The sequence below is a fragment of the Homo sapiens genome, chromosome 2 (assembly GCF_000001405.40).
Source record: "Homo sapiens chromosome 2, GRCh38.p14 Primary Assembly".
Taxonomy (NCBI): domain Eukaryota; kingdom Metazoa; phylum Chordata; class Mammalia; order Primates; family Hominidae; genus Homo; species Homo sapiens.
In genome coordinates, this window is record NC_000002.12 from 231,467,132 (window position 1) to 231,485,860 (window position 18,729).

At 49.7% G+C, this 18,729-nt stretch overlaps 1 long non-coding RNA gene across 2 annotated transcripts, besides 5 other annotated features; it reads right to left on the reverse strand.

Annotated features, from left to right (window-relative positions):
- Window positions 8,816-9,321: an enhancer, noted in NCBI's record as "NANOG hESC enhancer chr2:232340658-232341163 (GRCh37/hg19 assembly coordinates)". NCBI's record gives its function as "activates a minimal SCP1, AML or CMV promoter by ChIP-STARR-seq in primed H9 embryonic stem cells {active_cell/tissue: H9 hESC(primed)}" and the evidence as "EXISTENCE:reporter gene assay evidence [ECO:0000049][PMID:30033119]".
- On the reverse strand, window positions 11,226-17,419 carry LOC107985998 (uncharacterized). Of its 2 annotated transcripts, none has more exons than XR_001739927.3 (2): window positions 15,553-17,419; window positions 11,226-12,002 (listed from the first exon to the last, which is right to left on the reverse strand). It is a non-coding gene; the product is annotated as an uncharacterized LOC107985998 (long non-coding RNA). The 2 variants fall into 2 exon arrangements; XR_007088119.1 differs by lacking the exon at window positions 11,226-12,002 and adding an exon at window positions 13,633-14,907.
- Window positions 13,456-13,968: an enhancer, noted in NCBI's record as "H3K4me1 hESC enhancer chr2:232345298-232345810 (GRCh37/hg19 assembly coordinates)". NCBI's record gives its function as "activates a minimal SCP1, AML or CMV promoter by ChIP-STARR-seq in naive and primed H9 embryonic stem cells {active_cell/tissue: H9 hESC(naive and primed)}" and the evidence as "EXISTENCE:reporter gene assay evidence [ECO:0000049][PMID:30033119]".
- Window positions 13,969-14,479: an enhancer, noted in NCBI's record as "H3K4me1 hESC enhancer chr2:232345811-232346321 (GRCh37/hg19 assembly coordinates)". NCBI's record gives its function as "activates a minimal SCP1, AML or CMV promoter by ChIP-STARR-seq in naive H9 embryonic stem cells {active_cell/tissue: H9 hESC(naive)}" and the evidence as "EXISTENCE:reporter gene assay evidence [ECO:0000049][PMID:30033119]".
- Window positions 14,863-15,002: an enhancer, noted in NCBI's record as "active region_17288". NCBI's record gives its function as "activates an Ori minimal core promoter by ATAC-STARR-seq in GM12878 lymphoblastoid cells {active_cell/tissue: GM12878}" and the evidence as "EXISTENCE:reporter gene assay evidence [ECO:0000049][PMID:35858748]".
- Window positions 15,703-16,032: a silencer, noted in NCBI's record as "silent region_12428". NCBI's record gives its function as "represses an Ori minimal core promoter by ATAC-STARR-seq in GM12878 lymphoblastoid cells {active_cell/tissue: GM12878}" and the evidence as "EXISTENCE:reporter gene assay evidence [ECO:0000049][PMID:35858748]".
- Window positions 17,420-18,729: the final 1,310 nt, after the last annotated feature.

Here is an 18,729-nt window from a genome sequence, read left to right on the forward strand (position 1 = left end):
CCCTGAGCTCCAAGGCTGGGAGACAGTGCTCCACGTTTTAGCAGAGGAAGAACTAGATGGTGGTGAGAGGTGTGAGCATGGCTCTAATTATTGTGGGGAGTGTGACTAGTCTCAGACACCAGCCAAGAAGCTGCAGGGATACCACTGCCTTGAGTGGCCACTGGCTGCTTCTTTGGGCCTGCATGGACCCGGCCCAACTCTGTCTGCTGCTGTGGTCTGGCTGCCCCCCATGAAACCTGTGTAGTGAGGCACCCACTTGGGACACCCATGGGCACTTCTGACCCCTGAGACCCAGTAGGCCATAGTGGGCCTCATACTCATGCTAGGATCTGACAGCCCACTGGAGGGGGTCTGCAGGCTTCCAAGGATTAACTCCACTTCCCAGGACTGGGCTTCTAGGAAATAAGTGTCTCAGTTAGGCTCCAACTAGCCAAGAAAAATCACATTGAGTATTTAAAAAAGAGGGAGCTTAGCGCAGGGACGTGGTGACATGAGGGATAGAATTGCTGAGAAGCCGAGGGGACTGAGCAGGAAGCAGCTGCCCCCCTTCCAGGCTCTTCCACTGAAGGCTATGATGAGGGCCCGGGCTGATGCCAGGGAAGCTTCAGAAGGTCAGGAGGTTGGGGACATCCTGTGTCTCCCCTGCTCCTCCCCCTGAGTTGCAGGTAGGGCTGGCCAGACCCAGCCAGCACCCAGCCCACAAAGCCTGCAGGGTGAGTCCCTGCCATGTAGGCCGAGCAGGGCAGGGCTGGGCACCCCAGCTGGCCGGGAGGGAGTTCACAGCCTCAGCTTCCAGAGCTCCAGGTCTGCTGAGTGTGAAGGCCTGGGGTGTCTGCTATGAAGTTCCCTTTACCAGTCCAGCCTCCTTCTGTCTTCCTTCTGTCTTTGGGTTCACTGAGGCCTTTGGATACTGCCCAGATCTTCCCCAACACTTTCCCCCAGATGTCAAAGGGGGACCCTAAGCTCTTCCTCCCTTGCCAGGCCTTGCTTAGTGTGTTAGCGAGCCTTTCCCAGAGGAGGCATCTGTGTCTCAGGGTCCCAGGAGCCGGAGCCAGAGAACCCAGCCTTTGTCTTCCCGAGGCAGCCCGAGAAGCTTCACCTGTTCACCCAGAGGTAGAGTCAGCCCGTTGCCAACAACTGCAGGCCCCTGAGCCTGCTGGAGGAGGGTGTTGTGGGCCCCAGATCAACGTCATCCCCAACTTCCCTGCTGCACCTCCCAGGCCTCTCCATCCAGGAGGTTGGGCCCTGCTGGAGAGAAATCTGTGATGATGCAGATTTGGGGCCTCCAAATGCCCTGCCCTCCCAGCAGCTGCCCTGGTAGCAGCCCCAGCTGCTAGCCCAGATCATCTTCCAGGAGCTCCTGAACGCTCTCATTTCCCTCTCCCCAGCCTCTATGCCAAGCCTCTTCCCTCAGGCCCCTCACCTCTCCTTCTCTGCCCTCCCTGTCAACAGAGTTACTCTATCTTCTCCTTCATAGGGAAGGACAAACCTCCCAGAGGGATTCCCACCCTCTGATTTCTATACATTTGCAGACATCCTGAGCTCTCTCTGCCACTCCAAAGCCCCAAGGAAACCAGAGTCTTTCTCTATAGCACCCCTTCCCCTGTGCCAGCGAGCCCCTCCTCACCCCCTCCTGGGGTTCCCACTACAGTGATCTCCTCAGCTGTCACTCGCCACTTTTTTGTGTTTTTTGGTGTGTGGGTGTGTGGGGGTGTGGGTGTGTGTTTTTGGACTCACTCTGTTGGCCAGGCTGGAGTCCAGTGGTGTTAACACAGCTCACTGCAGCCTCGACATCCCAGGCTCAGGTGATCCTCCCACCTCAGTCCCTTAAGTAGCTAAGACTACAGGCGTTTGCTACCACGCCCAGCTACTTTTTGTATTTTTTATTTGTTTGTTTTTGAGACAGAGTCTTGCTCTGTTGCCCAGGCTGGAGTGCAGTGGCGTAATCTCGGCTCACTGCAAGCTCCGCCTCCTGTGTTCAAGCGATTCCCCTGCCTCAGCCTCCCTCCCGAGTAGCTGGGACTCCAGGCACCCACCACCACGCCTGGCTAATTTTTTGTATTTTTAGTAGAGACAGGGTTTCACTGTGTTAGCCAGGATGGTCTCCATCTCCTGATCTCCTGATTCGCCTGCCTCAGCCTCCCAAAGTGCTGGGATTACAGGCGTGAGCCACCACGCCTGGCCTGCCACCTGCCATTTCAATACCTCCTTCCCTTCCATTGCCTTTTTCAGGAACAAGCTCTTGGGAAGAGTTGACAACAGTTGCTCCCAGCTCCACCAGGTCCCCCAGGCTCCCAGCCCCTGCAGGTGCCCTACAACCCTGCCCCTGTAGGTGCCCTACAACCCTGCCCCTGTAGGTGCCCTACAACACGCTCTTTGTTGCTAGCCAGAAGGACCCCTTGCAGACCTTCTCTCTCATGTCTCTTGACCCTTCTGCAGCTTCTGTCTCTTGACCACATCCTCCTTGGAGCTTCCCCTCTGCCTCCCTGACACTTCTCTCTCCTGGCCTCTTTCCTCTTTGCCTACCTTCTTCCTTTCTCAAAGAAGAGTGTTTGCACCTTTCTCTCCCCTTGACTTTCTCTCACTGGTGACACCCTTATCCGGTGGCCTCAGCTACCATCTGTGTGTACCCCACCTACTTGGGGCCACTCCTCCACAGCGGCTCCACCTTCCCGTGGGCAGTGCCATCTGAAGGTTCCCAAATCAGGGTTTCTTCAGGAGCAACTTTCTTCCTCATTAACCCAGTGGCTTAGCAGACATCTCCCTTTGGTGCCCTATAAAACTTCAGACTCCAAGTAGAGTGTCCCACTGTGAATTCAGCCTCTTCCTCCACCCCTGAACTGCTGTCTTTCCTACCTCAATAAAGGAGAGACAGCTCCCAGCTTACCTAGCCAAGAGCCAGTACGTTATCTTAGTCTGCTGGAGCTGCTATAACTTTAGACGGGGTCCTTTATAAACAACAGAAATGTGTTACCTGCACATTGTGCACATGTACCCTAAAACTTAAAGTATAATAATAATAAATTTTAAAAAAAGAAAAAAAATTAAAAAAAAAAAAAAAAAAAAAAAAAGAAATGTGTTACAGTTCTGGAGGCTGGATATCCAAGATCAGAGCACTGGCAGATTTGGTGTCTGTGAAGACCTCTCTCCTAGACGGTGCCCTTTTTGCTGCTTCTTCAGAGGCAGAAGGAGTCCACAGGCTCCTGTGAGCCCCTTTTAAAAGGACATTAATCCCATTCTCAAGGGTGGAGCCTCCGGAGCTAATCACCTCCTACAGGCACCACCTCTTCATACTCTTGCCTTGGGGATTAGCTTTCAACATATGAATTTGGAGGGACACCAGCATTCAGATCATAGCATTGTCTAGACCCTGACCTCTCCCTCAGCTCCCAGTCACCCCAGCCTGGGCTTCGAGTGTCTTTGGAGTGGGTCCACTCTGCTTTCCACCGCCCTTCTCTTACTGCCCCTGCTCAAGTTCCTGCCTGGATTAACCCAGCCATTCCAAGTCAGCCACCCTGACCTGTCTTGCCCTGTATCTTAACCTACCATGTGGCAGCCACATCAGTTTTCCTCAGCAGCAGATAAAAACACATTCTTCTAATTAAGGGATTTCAGTGACTTCTGACTGCCAGCAGGAGAAAATCCAAGTGCCTCAACCCACATTGAAAACCCCTTCCTGAGGCCAGTGGCTCACTCCTGTAATCCCAGCATTTTGGAAGGCCAAGGCAGGTGGATCACGAGGTCAGGAGTTCGAGGCCAGCCTGGTCAACATATAGTGAAACCTCGTCTCTACTAAAAATACAAAAATTAGCCAGGGCTGGTGGCGTGTGCCTGTAGTCCCAGCTACTCGGGAGGCCAAGGCAGGAGAATTGCTTGAACCTGGGAGGTGGAGGTTGCAGTGAGCCGAGACCACTGCACACCAGCCTGGGTGACAGAGCAAGACTCTGTCTCAAAGAAAACCCCTTCCTGCTGCAGAGAGGGGGTCTAGGGTGAGGTAAGGCACTTGCCTCAGGCACAACACTTAAGGGATGCCAAAAAACTCAATCATCAAGATAAATAATATTTCAATGCAATATTTTTTAATTACTGGGGAAAATCCATGATGAACAAAAAAGTCAGAATTTTATTTATTTTATTATTTTTGAGGCAGAGTCTCACTCTGTTACCCAGGCTGGAGTGCAGTGTTGTCACTTTGGCTCACTGCAATCTCTGCCTCCCAAACTCAAGGGATCCTCCAACCTCAGCCTCCCAAGTAGCTGGGACTACAGGCATGTTCCACTATGCCAGGCTAATCTTTTAATTTTTTGTAGAGATGGGGTCTTGCCATGTTGCCCAGGCTGGTTTCAAACTCCTGGGCTCAAGTCATCCTCCCTCCTCAGCCTCCCAAAGTGCTGGGATTACAGGCATGAGCCACCGCGCCCAGTCAAAATCAGAATTTTATTTTATGTGTTTTTTAAATTTTGTTTTTGTTTTTCCCTGAGACGGAGTCTCACTCTGTCGCCCAGGCTGGAGTGCAGTGGCACGATCTCAGCTCACTGCAACCTCCGTCTCCCCGGCTCAAGCAATTATCCTGCCTCAGCTTCCCAAGTAGCTGGGACTACAGGCGCCCACCACCATGCCCAGCTAATTTTTTTTTTTTTTTTTTTGAGATGGAGTCTCGCTTTGTCACCTAGGCTGGAGTGCAGTGGCACAATCATAGCTCACTGCAACCTCCGCCTCCCAGGTTGAAGCGGGAGCTTCCTGAGTAGCTGGAATTACAGGCGCCTGCCACTGCGCCCGCCACCACGCTTGGCTAATTTTTGTATTTTTAATAGAGACAGGGTTTCACCATGTTGTCCAGGCTGGTCTCGAACTCCTGACCTCAGGTGATCTACCCACCTCAGCCTCCCAAAGTGCTGGGATTACAGGCATGAACCACCATGTCCTGCTTAAAATCAGATTTTTAAATGAACACAGATCACTATCACTGACATTTCTTTTGCCTCAGGATGCACTGTGGCTTGCACAGCACTGTCACTGATTGTGTCATTTAAAATTTGATATTTTGTTCATCATGGATTTTCTTGCATTTTTATTTTTAAATATTGCACTAAAATATTATATTGATCACTGACTTTGGGACCTTAAATTCTGTGTGCAAGACAACTGCCTCACTTATCTCACCCTAGTCCTGGTCCTGTGCCCAGACTCCAAGCCAACTGGACTATCCATCTTCTTCCAGGGGGCCCGCTGGCCTCTGTCCCACCTCCACCACTTCTTGTGCTCCTTCCCCTGCCTGAGATGACCCCCTCCATCTCTGGCCTCCTGATCGTCCTTCAGGACTAAACCACCTTCCTGGGGTCCTCCCTGTAATCCCCAGGCTGGGTCAGGTCCTCCTCCTTGTGCTACTGCACCAGCTGCACAACACTCATGGGTGAGCATGCTCATGCATGTCTCCCCACTCCACTGTGAGCTGCTGCTTTTTTTTTTTTGTCAAGAGAGATGGGGCCAGGCGCAGTGGCTCATGTCTGTAATCCCAGCACTTTGGGAGGCTGAGGTGGGTGGATCACCTGAGGTCAGGAGTTCGAGACCAGCCTGACCAACATGGTGAAACCCCGTCTCTACCAAAAATACAAAAATTAGGTGGGCGTTGTGACATGCACCTGTAATCCCAGCTACTCAGGAGGCTGAGGCAGAAGAATCACTTGAACCTGGGAGGCAGAGGTTGAGGTAAGCCAAGATCGCACCATTGCACTCCAGCCTGGGCAAGAAGACTGAAACTCTGTCGAAGAGAAGAGGAAGAGGAGTAAGAAGAGGAGGAGGAAGAGGAGGAGGAAGAAGAGGAAGAGGAGAAGGAAGAAGAGGAAGAGGAGGAGGAAGAAGAGGAAGAGGAGGAGGAAGAAGAGGAAGAGGAGGAAGAGGAAAATAACAGTTGTTGGTGAGGATGTGGAGAAATTGGAATCCTTATGCATTGATGGTGGGAATGTAAAATGGTGCAGCTGCCAGAGAAAACAGTAAGGCAGTTCCTCAAAAATTAAAAATAGAAGGCCAGGCACAGTGGCTCACTCCTGTAATCCCAGCACTTTGGGAAGCCGATGTGGGTGGATCACTTGAGGTCAGGAGTTTGAGACCAGCCTGGCCAACATGGTGAAACCCCATCTCTACTAAAAATGCAAAAATTAGCCGTGGGTGGTGGTGGACGCCTGTAAACCCAGCTACTCTGGAGGCTGAGGCAGGAGAATCGCTGGAACCCAGGAGGTGGAGGTTGCTGTGAACAGAGATTGTGCCACTGCACTCCAGCCTGGGCAACAGAACGAGACTCCGAAAGAAAGAAAGAGAGAGAGAGAGAGAAGAAAGAAAGGAAATCCAATCCGACACACGCTACAACATGGATGAACTTTGAAGACATTGTGCTAAGTGAAATAAGACAGTCACATACAAAAAAATACTGTATGATTTCACTTATAGAAGATATCTAGAGTAGTCAAACTCAAAGAAACAGAAAGTAGAATAGTGGTTGCCAAGGGCTGGGGAGATGGGAGGTGTTTAATGGGTACACATTTTCAGGGGTATTTTTTTGTTTTCTGTTTTTGTTTTTTTTTGAGACAGCGTCTCACTCTGTCACCCAAGCTGGAGTGCAATGGTGCAGTCCTGGCTCACTGCAGCCTTTATCTCCCAGGCTCAAGTGATCCTCCCCTCTCAGCCTCCCATGTAGCTGGGACTACAGGTCTGCACCACTACGCTCACCTAATTTTTCTTTTTTTTTTTCTTTTTTTTTTTTTTTAGTAGAGACAAGGTCTCTGTATGTTGCCTAGGCTGGTCTTGAACTACTGGGGACTCAAGAAATACTCCTGGGCTGGGCGCAGTGACTCACGCTTGTAATCCCAACACTTTGGGAGGCCAAGGCGGACAGATCACTTCAGCTCAGGAGTTTGAGACCAGCCTAGGCAACATAGCAAAACCCCTTCTCTACAAAAAAATACAAAAATTTTGCCGGGTGCAGTTGCTCACACCTGTAATCCCAGCACTTTGGGAGGCTGAGGCAGGTGGATCACCTGAGGTCAGCAGTTCGAGACCAGCCTAACATGGTGAAACCCTGTCTCTACTAAAAATACAAAACTTAGCCGGGCATGGTGGCGGGCACCTGTAATCCCAGCTACTCGGGAAGCTGAGGCAGGAGAATCATTTGAACCTGGGAAGCAGAGGTTGCAGTGAGCTGAGATCGCGCCATTGCACTCCAGCCTGGGCAACAAGAGCAAAACTCCATCTCGAAAAACAAACAAACAAAACGCAAAAATTAGCCAGATGTGGTGGCGCATTCCTGGAGTCCCAGCTACTTGGGAGGCTGAGGTGGGAGGACAGCTTGAGCCCAGGAGACGGAGGTTGCAGTGAGCTGAGATGGGGCCACTGCACTCCAGCCTTGGCAACAGAGAAAAAAAAAAAGAAATCCTCTCACCTTGGCATCCCAAAATGCTGAGATTACAGGCATAAGCCACTGTGTCCAGCCCAAGAGTTGCAGTTTTGCAAGATGAAAAAGTTCTAGAAATAGGTTGCACAACAATGTGACTATACTGAACTATACACTTAAAAATGGTTAAGATAGTACATTTTATTTAATTTTATCAAAATATTTATTTCATGGATACATCTAGTACCATATATAAAAATTTTTAAAGATAATTTAGTGGTGGCTCGCTCCTGTAATCCCAGGACTTTGAGAGGCCAAGGCAGGCAGATCACTTGAGGTCAGGAGTTCAAGACCAGCCTGACTAACATGATGAAACTCCGTCTCTACTACAAATAGAAAAATTAGCTGTGTGTGGTGGCTGTAATCCTAGCTACTCAGGAGGCTGAGGCAGGAGAGCTGCTTCAACCTGGGAGGCAGAGATTGTAGTGAGCTGAGATGGCACCACTGCACTCCAGCCTGGGCGACAGAACGAGATTCCATCTCAAAATAATAATAATTATTATTATTTAATTTTTTGTGTAATAAATACATCCAAGAAACCAAAAATTATAAAAGGTGCCAGGTGCTGTGGTGTGCCTATAGTCCCAGCTGCTCAGGATGCTGAGGCAGGAGACTAGCTTGAGACCAGGAGTTCAAGGCTATAGTGAGCTAGATCATTTTTTTTTTTTTTTTTTTTTTTTTTTGAGACAGAGTCTCACTCTGTCACCCAGGCTGGAGTGTACTAGCGTGACCTTGGCTCACTGCAAACTCCGCCTCCTGGGTTCAAGCAATTCCCTGCCTCAGCCTCCCAAGTAGCTGGGATTACAGGCATGCGCCACCACACCTCGCTAATTTTTGTATTTTTAGTAGAGACAAGGTTTCACTATATTGGTCAGGCTGGTCTCGAACTCCTGACCTCACATGATTTGCCTGCCTTGGCCTCCCAAAGTGTTGGGATTACAGGTGTGAGCTACCACTTCCAGCCAAGCCAGATCATGCCTGCGAATAGCCACTGCATATAGAGAGACCTCATCTCAAAATAAAATAAAATAAAATAAATAAAAGACAGTTAAAAGTCTCTCTTGCGCTTGTCTTCCATTTTCCTCGTTCCTACTTCTCTACCCTGTCTAGGTAACTGCTTTTAAAAATGTGTTAACCGGCTGGGCATGGTGGCTCATGCCTGTAATCTCAGCACTTTGGGAGGCCGAGGTGGGCGGATCACTTGAGGCCAGGAGTTCGAGACCAGCCTGGTCAACATGGTGAAACCCCATCTCCATCAAAAATACAAAAATTAGCCGGGCATGGTGGCCTGCAACTGTAGTCCCAGCTACATGGCAGGCTAAGGCAGGAGATTCACTTGAACCCGGGAGACGGAGATTGCAGTGAGCTGAGATTGTGCCACTGCACTCCAGCCTGGGTGACAGAATGAGACTCCGTGTCAAAACAAATAAATAAATAAAAATGTGTTAACCATAAAGGACAAAAGGCATATAATTATCTCAACAGATGCAGGAAGAGCTCACAAAAACTGACACCCTTTCATGTTTAATAAAAAGCAAAACACTGAACAAAACAGTAGACGGGTACTTCCTCAATCTGATAAAGGGCATCTACAAAAACATCTAACCCAGTGTGAAAGACTGAAAGCTTTAAGATCAGGAACAATGCAAAGGTATCTGCTCTCATCACTTCTATTCAAATTGTACTGGGGGTGCCATCCAGGGCAATTAGGCAAGAAAAAAAAAAGAAATAAAACTATCTCTATTTGCAGATAACATGATCTTGTGTATAGAAAATCCAACGGGATACACAAACACAAAAAAAACTATTAGAGCTAATAAAAAGTTCAGCAAGATACAAAAGATACAAAATCAATATGTAAAAATCAAGGGTGTTTCTATCAATAGCAATGAACAATCAAAAATTGAATTAAAAAAAATTCAATTTACAACCGCATCAAAAAGAAACATTATACTTATAAATAAAGTTAACAAAAGAAGTGCAAGACAAACATTCAAAACTGCAAAACAACATAGAAATAAAGACCTAATAAATGGAAACACTTCCTATGTTCATGGATCAGAAGATTTAATTTTGTTAGGATGACAATACTCCCCAAATTAATAAACAGATTCTATACAATTCCTGTCAAAATTTCAGGAATTGATTTTTGTGGAAATCAACAAGCTGATCCTAAAAATCAACAAGCTGATCCTAAAATTTATATAAAAGTTTAAGAATAAATGGCCAAGAAAAAAATGAAAAGATAATCTACAGAATAGGAGAAAATACTTGCAAATCATATATCTGATAAAGAGTTAATATCCAGAATATAAAGACCTACTATCTGATGACAAAAAAACAAGCCAATTGTAAAATGGGCAAAGGGCATTTTTCCAAATATATACAAATAGTGAATAAGAACATGAAAAGATGCTCAACGTTATTAGCCATCAGGGAAATACAAATCAAAACCACAATAAACTACATCTATCTCAGCTACTCTGGAGGCTAAGGCAGGAGGATTGCTTGAGGCTAGGAGTTCAAGACTAGCCTGGGCAACATAGCAAGACCCCTATCTCAGAAAAAAAAAAGCTACATCTTCACACCCAGTATAATGGCTATAATTAAAAAGTCAGCTAAGGCTGGGCATAGTGGCTCACATCTGTAATCCTAGCACTTCAGGAGGCTGAGATGGGAGGATCGCTTGAACTGAAGAGTTTGAGACCAGCTCGGGCAACATAATGAGACCCCATCTCTGCAAAAAGAAAAGAGTCAGTGAAAAGCAGGTATTGGTGAGGATGTAGTGAAATTGGAACTTTTTCTTTTTTTTTTTTTTTTTTTTTGAGATGGAGTCTCGCTCTGTCACCCAGGCTGGAGTGCAGTGGCACGATCTTGGCTCACTGCAACCTCTGCCTCCTGGGTTCAAGCGATTCTCCTGCCTCAGCCTCCCGAGTAGCTGGCACTACAGGCACGTGCCACCATGCCCGGCTAATTTTTTGTATTTTTAATAGAGACAGGGTTTCACTGTGTTAGCCAGAATGGTCTTGATCTCCTGACCTCGTGATCCACCCACCTTGGCCTCCCAAAGTGCTGGGATTACAGGCGTGAGCCACTGCACCCAGCCGAAATTGGAACTTTCGTACGCTGCTGATGGCAATGTTAAATAGTGCAACTGCTTTGGAAAACAGTGTGGCAGTTCCTCAAATGGTTAAACACAGAGTAGCCTTACAATCCAGCAAATCTCCTCCTAGGTATATAGCCAAGAGAAATGAAAGCACATGTCCATAACAAAACTTGTCCACAAATGTTCATAGCAACTTTTTTTTTTTTTCATGAGACAGTCTTGCTCTGTTCCCCAGGCTAGAGTGCAGTGGCGTGATCTCAGCTCACTGCAATCTCTGCCTTCTGGGCTCAAGCGATCTTCCCACCTCAGCCTCCTAAGTAGCTAGGACTACAGGCACTTGCCACCACACTGCGCTAATTTTTTGTAGAATTGAGGTCTCACTATTCTACCCACACTGGTCTCAAAACTCCTGAGCTCCAGCGATCCTCCCACCTCTGCCTCCCAAAGTGTTGGGATTACAGGCGTTAAGCCACCACACCCAGCCCTGCAGCATTATTTATAATAAAGAAAAAGCAAAACAACCTAAATGTCTATCAGCTGATGAATGGATAAACAAATTGTGATATATCCATACAGTGGAATGTTACTTAGCAATAAAAAAAAGTACTGATCTGCAACGTAGATGAACTTTGAAAACATGCTAAGTGAAAGAAGCCAGATGCAAATACCAAATATTTTATGATTCCATTTATATGACATATCCAGAATCAGCAAGTCTGTAGACAGAGGGCAGATTAGTGGTTGCCAGGGGCAGAGGGGAATAGGCAGTGGCTGCTAATGGGTATGGGGTCTCTTTTTGAGGCGATGAAAACGTTCTAGGTAGTTGTGATGGTTGTGCAACTTTGTGAATATACCAAAAAGCCCCACTTAACTGTACCCTTAAGAGGGTGGCTATTACTGTTATGAATTATATTACAATAAAAATTTTCATATAAAAAATGTATTAACTTCAAGGAGAAATACAGCTCTCACTGGACCAGGACTGGATTATTTGCAGACCTACAGCAGAGGCTGAATGAGAAGGTAGCTTGGCAAACATGTAATGCCAGTCGATTCTACCTCCACAGGAGCTCCAGAATTTTAACCGGTCTCAACACCTTTGCACTACCAGGGTAATTCCAGCCACTCCCAACTGCCCCCTGACTCTCTGCCCTCCAGCCTCACTGGCTGTCTTTTAAATCTTCCGATTCACCTAGCCACACTCACGGCCAGCGCCAAGTCTCAATTCTCCCTCTAAGAACATGAGTGTGAGTATTTGACTCCCACCACCTCTCCGCCCCCATCACCAGCATCTACAATGCTCTCCACGAAGGGTTCGGGCCTAGTCCGATGCCTGGCACAGGGCAGGAGCTCCACAAGCATTTCTGGAGTGAACTTGAGAATTAGGGAGAGGCTTGTAGAGGAAATGCCATTTCAGGTGGGCCTGGAAGGGCCGTGGGATCTGTCAGCCTGGTAGGGGAGAGGAAAGCGCTGTAGGCAGCCTGAGAGAGAGGACTGGGACCTTCGGAGCCTCAAGGGAGACTGAGGGGCTTGAAGACTAAGGAACTCAATCTTATCCACGGGATAGGAAGAGGTGGCAAATGGGGCTGGAGAGGCAGGTAGGGGTTTGAGGGACTGAAGTCCAGTGGAAGCCACTGAACAGTTTTAGGCCAGAGAGTGACACGATCTTATATAATATTTTGAGAAGATCCCTCTGGGTGCTTCATGGAAGCTGGATTAGAGGGTGAGCTTCGGAAAAATGAAGTGGCTGTGGCCACTGCCCAGGGGACACGGGGAGTCTAGAAAGAAAAAGCTCCCTTCAGATCCTCCTGTTACAGGAGTCAGCAGGCTCCCCCGAGGAAACACCTCCCGCCATTGCACATTGTTAAATCCACTTCAATATTCCCTTTTACCTCCTGTGTCAATCACCACCGTGAAAAGATGCGTAAGTAAACTGATGGTAACAGCAGATTTGGTTAGATAGTAAGACGTGAGCTTTAAAAGATGAGGTAATAGGCCAGGCATGGTGGCTCAGGCTTGTAATCCCAGCACTTTGGGAGGGGGAGGCTGCAGTGAGTAGATATCGCGCCACTGCACTCTGCCTGGGTGACAGAGCGAGAGAGTCCATCTCAAAAAAAAAAAAAAATCACAAAATAATAATAAAATCAAGAGGTCATGCAACATAATTGAAACTCTTGGCTATAATGTGGATTACTGGGAAATTTCCCATATAATGTGTGACAAAATGTAACTGGAAATTGATGGGGCAGTGAGGAGGCTGGGGAGATGAAACAGACTCATTTTCTTCTTAATAGGGTTAGGGTTTGCCTTTGGTTTTTTTTTTGTTTGTTTTTTTTTTTTTTTGGAGACAGAGTCACCCTCTGGCTGGAGTACAGTAGTGCTATCTCGTCTCACTGTAACCTCCTGGGTTCAAGCAATTCTCCTACCTCAGACTCCCAAGTAGCTGGGACTACAGGCATGTGCCACCACACCTGGCTAATTTTTGTATTTTTAGTAGAGATGGGGTTTCACTATGTTGGCCAGGCTGGTCCTGAACTCCTGACCTCATGTGATCTGCTGCCTCGGCTTCCTAAAGTGCTAGGATTACAGGCATGAGCCATAGCACCCGGCCTAACTTTTGTGTTTTTAGTAAAGATGTGGTTTCATCATGCTGGTCTTCAACTCCTGACCTCAAGTGATCCGCCTGCCTCAGCTTCCCAAAGTCTTGGGATTACAGGTGTGAGCCATTGTGCCAGGCCTGCATTTGTGATTTATGTAATTTAAACATTTTGGATCAAGTGCAGTGGATCACACCTGTAATAGCATCACTTTGTGGAGCTGAGGTGGGCAGATCACTTGAGCCCAGGAGTTCAAGACCAGCCTGGCCAACAAAGCAAGACCTGGTCTCTACAAATACATTTTTAAAAAAAATTAGCTGGGTGTGGTGGTGCACGCCTATAGTCCCAGCTACTCAGGAGCTGAGCAGGGAAGATCTCTTGAGCCTAGGAGATCAAAGCTGCAGTGAGCTGTGATTGTGCCACTGCACTCCAGCCTGGGCAACAGGGCAAGACCCTATCTCTAAAACAAAAGGGAAAGATCGAAATGTTAAATTTATTTATTGGGGATTATAATTGTTGTTGGTTTTTTGTGTCTGTGTTGGAATTTGAGTTGAAACAGTCTGACAACCCTGTTCACTACCTCTGGCAGCTCAGAGTTCAGCAGCTGCCCACTCTGCCTCCAGCTTCCCTCTGGCCCCTCCCCAGGGCTGGGGTGGGATCCCACAGGGGATCTCCAGCCCGGTGGCCAGTGGAGGTCAGGAAGAAACCAGAGCTCACCAGCGCCAGGGGTCCAGGGCTGAAGAAAAGCTCTTGGGCTGGGTTCCAAGTGGGCAGGGGGCTCAGCATCTGATGGTTGGGCTGTGTCCCTGTACCCATCAGCCAGCTGGGACCACAGTGCTTTTCCTGCAGGGGCCCAAGTTTCACTCACCAGCCTTTTTTATGGGTGGGGGGAGGGGACGGAGTCTCCCTCTGTCACCCAGGCTGGAGTGCAGTGGCAGAATCTTAGCTCACTGCAACCTCCACCTCCTGGGCTCAAGTGATTCTTCTGCCTCAGACTCCCAAGTAGCTGGGGTTATAGGTGCCTGCCACCACACCTGGCTAATTTTTGTATTTTTAGTAGAGACAGTTTCACCATGTTGGCCAGGCTGCTCGTGAGCTCCTGAGCTCAAGTGATCCGCCCACCTCAGCCTCCCAAAGTGTTGGGATTACAGGCGTGAGCCACCGCGCCCTGCTCACTCACCAACCTCTTCAACGCCCAGCTTAGAGCTGCTGGTCTCACGAAGAAGCTGCCACGAACACACAGCTCGTTCCCTCCCTCAGGTGGAGAGAGGATGACACAGAGGCAGGGGAAAGGTTGGAGCTAGGGGAGGTAGGTGCAAGTGGGCAAAGGACCCCAGTGTAGGGGAGGGGTGAAGACAAACTGCCCGTGTCACTGTTCTGTATGGAGCTGCATCTGAACCCAAGGCAAGTCCCTGCCCTATTCTCCACCTGTTCCCCTGCTGTTCTTCTCAGACAGTAATTAATCTTCCAAGCAGCACATTATCCGTGGGATAAACTGTGGCCTCTGAAGTCTTCGGTCCTGGGTCTAACTTGGGAGGCTTTGGGCAGAGTGTCAGTTATGACACCTTTCATCACAAGTGGCTGGTCAGCATGACTTAAACAGTCCAGGGGATTCACTGCAAAGTTCAGCCCTGCAGGCCCGGCTTGATCCAGCAGCTCACAGGTGTCACCCTGCAGCCATCTTCCTGTCTTTCTTTCCACTTCTGTGTCAGCGTCATCTCAGGCCAGCTTTCATCATGGTGGCAGAATGTCTCTTGCTGTGGTTCAAGCAATGAATCTCATCTCTACACATCTTAGAGTCCAGAGGGAGCTAGAAAACATCTTTCCCAGAAGCCATCTCCCACAAAGGAGTACCCCAGACTGTCCCTGGATTACAGCCTCACCCCTGTGCCCAGGCAAGGTAGTAGTTATGGTAATGTCAGTGTGATCCTGGGCCACCTGCCCCACCCCAGCCCAGGGAGTCAGCACTGGGGTTTGTGGCGGGGGAGACGGGTACCCAGAGAATGATCAGGGGAGAAATGGAGAACAGAGAAGGGTCATGGGAGGCCGCTCCGTTGCCTCTGGCAGCCAGAAAACTCCAATTTTTTTTTTTTAAGACAGAGTCTCACTCTGTCACCCAGGCTGGAGTGCAGTGAGATCTCGGCTCACTGCAACCTCTGCCTCCCGAGTTCAAGCAATTCTCCTGCCTCAGCCTCCTGAGTAGCTGGGATTACAGGTGCCCGCCATCACGCCTGGCTAATTTTTGTTTTGTTTTTAGTAGAGTCGGGCTTTCACCATGTTAGCCAGGCTGGTCTCGAACTCCTGACCTCAGGTGATCCACCCTCCTCAGCCTCCCAGAGTGCTGGGATTACTGGCGTGAGCCACCGCACCCGGCCAGAAAACTCCAATTCTTAATTCCTTACCTGTAGTGGGGGGTCATCATCTCTACCTTACTGATGTAAGGCACAGGACAGTTCAAGAGCGACAGTAACGTGCTGCCACCGTCACTGGGGTGCTGTAGCCGATGTGAACTCCCTCCCCGGCTAGCTTCTCTTCTGTGAAGGTGAGGTCCGGGCCACCAAGCCGCTTGCCCACTCCACACAAGGTCCTTCTCTCCGAGGGACGCGGCAGGGGCCCGAGGTGGCCAGCAGGTGGCAGCGCCGCGGCAGCCCGGGTTTGGCATAGCTCGGGAGCGGCCTCCGGGAAAGGAAGGGGTCAGGCCTCTCCAGGCAGCCCCCAGAGCCCCTCGCCTCCCTGGGCGCCCCACTCGCAGATGCAGCAGGGCGGGTTCGCGGGTGTGCGGCCTGCACCTGGCGGGGCTCCGGGCTTGGGTGGAAGCTCTGCTGTCGCCATCTTGACGTCTGAGTTACTGCTGAGCAGGAGCCCTGCATTTTCATTTTGCGCCAGGCCTCTCAAACTGTGGTCCTGGGTGCCAGGACTCCTGCTGCCTCGGGATCCCGCCACTTTACTTCCCAGAAATGCGCTGAGCCCGTCCCTTTCCTGCCGTTGCTCAGCCTTCCCGGGGCTCCCTGACCATGCTTGTCTCCAGCTCACCGGCCTTCCAGAAGCCTGGAGAGGGCCGGGACCCCACATGGGGAGGACGAAGAACCCACGCAAGGAAAACGGGGACCCTACATGGGCATGGGGCAGCCATGGGGAGGAGGGGGACCACGTGGGGATAATGGGGCCATACGTGGAGAGGAGGGGACCCTACAGAAGGCCTGGGTTGGGCAGTGCTGGGCTCTCGTCGGAGGGTCAGGTGGCGCTGGCGGCCGGCAGGAAGCCCTGGGTAGCGGGTGGCGGGCAGCAGGTCCCGGGCTGCAGGCCCCGTGGAGAGCGGAAGGCGCGCGGCGAGGCCCGGGCGGGAACCCAAGGCTGGAGGCCGGCCCTAAGAGTGCTTCCCTAGCAGCCCCGGCGGGAAAAGAAGAGAACAAAGTCTAGGAGTTCCGGGACTTCCCCGCGGTGGCAGAGGAGGGGGCTGCCATTGTCAAGGCGGCACAGAAGCCTCGGGTTCGGGGACCTTTGCTGGAGGAGCTGGGGCAGGGTAGGACGGGGGCCGCAGGGGCCTCGAGAGCGAACGGGGAAAGGCCGCGGCGCCTGCAGAGCACAGTCCATGCAGTTTGCCCGGGGCGCGGGCCTCTCGAGTGTGCTCAGGAAGCCGTGGCTCCTCGGGGCGTCTGCAGGCCTCCCAGCATCCGTCGTGCAGACCTGACGCCACCTGCCACCCGCAGACGCTGAGACCCGGAGCCCCTCTGCCCCTGGGCTGGCCGCGGAGGCTGCCTCTGGGGTGCGGTTTCCCAGGCTGTGTCTTTTCAGCGGGTGCGCAGGTTCCCGCCCTCCCAGTGTCCCTTCCTGCGGTCTGGACGTGGGGGCCCGCGGACCCAGCGTGGGGGCGCTGTGGGTGACAGAAGGTGGTGGAGCAGAGGCGGCTGCAGTGTGGACTCAAAAGCACGTGGGGGTGGGGGGTGGGGCAAGAGCAATCAGGTGGTCTGCGCCTGCTCTGCGACTTCCCAGCTGTGCGACCCTGGGAAGTTACCTCACCTCTTTGAGGCTCAGGCTTCCCTCATCTGTAAAATGGAAGAATAGGATCGACTTTGCAGGGTATCTGTGGGGATTCTTGATATACAGACCATATGAAAGACCTTCCGTAAGAGAGGGATGCTTTTCTGCCTAGATTTTATAGCCTCTATCCTTGTATTAAAATTGATTATCAAAATGTTTACGATTTCCCCTGCCCTTAGAAATAACAGAATCATGGCTAGGCGCGGTGGCTTACGCCTGTAATCCCAGCACTTTGGGAGGCCGAGGCGGGTGGATCACCTGAGGTCAGGAGTTCCAGACCAGCCTGGCCAACATGGCGAAACCTCATCTCTACTAAAAATACAAAAAAAAAAAAAAAAAATTATCCGGGCATGGTGGCACGCACCTGTAATCCCAGCTACTTGGGATTCCCTCTTGTGAAAGGTGGGAGAGGGGAGAAGGGACAGGAGAGGTAACACTTCTCTGAGTCCAACTCACCCTTGAACAACACAGGTTTGAACTGTGGGTCCATGTCTGTGCCTTGACCACCCCTGAGGCAGCATGATCAACCCCTCCTCCTCCTCTTCCTCAGCCTACTCAATGTGAAGATGAGGATGAAAACCTTTATAATAATTCACTTACACGTAATGAATAGTAAATTTTTTCTTATGATTTTCTTTTTTTTTTTTTGAGATGGAGTCTGCTCTGTTGCCCAGGCTGGAGTGCAGTGGCATGATCTTGGCTCACTGCAACTTCCACCTCCTGGGTTCAAGCAATTCTCTCTGCCTCAGACTCCTGAGTAGCTGGGACTACAGGCACCCACCACCATGGCTGGCTAATTTTTTTTTTCTTTGTATTGTTAGTAGAAACAGGGTTTCGCCATGTTGCCCAGGCTGGTCTTGAACTCCTGACCTCAGGTGATCTGCCCACCTCAGCCTCGCAAAGTGTTGGGATTACAGGCATGAGCCACTGTGCCCGGCCTTTCTTAATAACATTTTCTGTATTGTAAGATACAGTATGTAATACATATAACATACAAAATATGTGTTAATCAACTGTTCCTGTTATTGGTAAGGTTCCCAGTCAACAGCAGCCTATCAGTACTTATGTTTTTGGGGAATCAAAAGTTATATGTGGATTTTCAACTACACAGGGGGTTGGCACCTCTAACTCCTGCATTGTTCAAGAGTCAACGGTACATCTTTGTATAATTCTGACTTATAGAACTATTTGTGTTTCATAGAAAAAAAAATTTAAATCAACAAGGAATTGGAGAAGGGTGGTAGAGATGGCCCAAAATGGAATACGAACAGAAACAAGTGAACTTGCTGTTTTACAAATGAATAACGTGCACTCGGGCATCCTAGGGGAGCAGTGACCTATGTAGCTTTAGAAACAGTGTTTTGACTATATGCTCTATGACTAAAGGGGAGAAAAACTGCACAATATTTTGCCGTTGGTAGAGGAGCACACATCTCACATCTAACTCACATCTTTCTTTTTCACAGAGGTGTGAGTTAGAAATCCATGAACTACTTGATGTGGATTCTGGCACTGAGCAAGTATATATACTGCAGCTA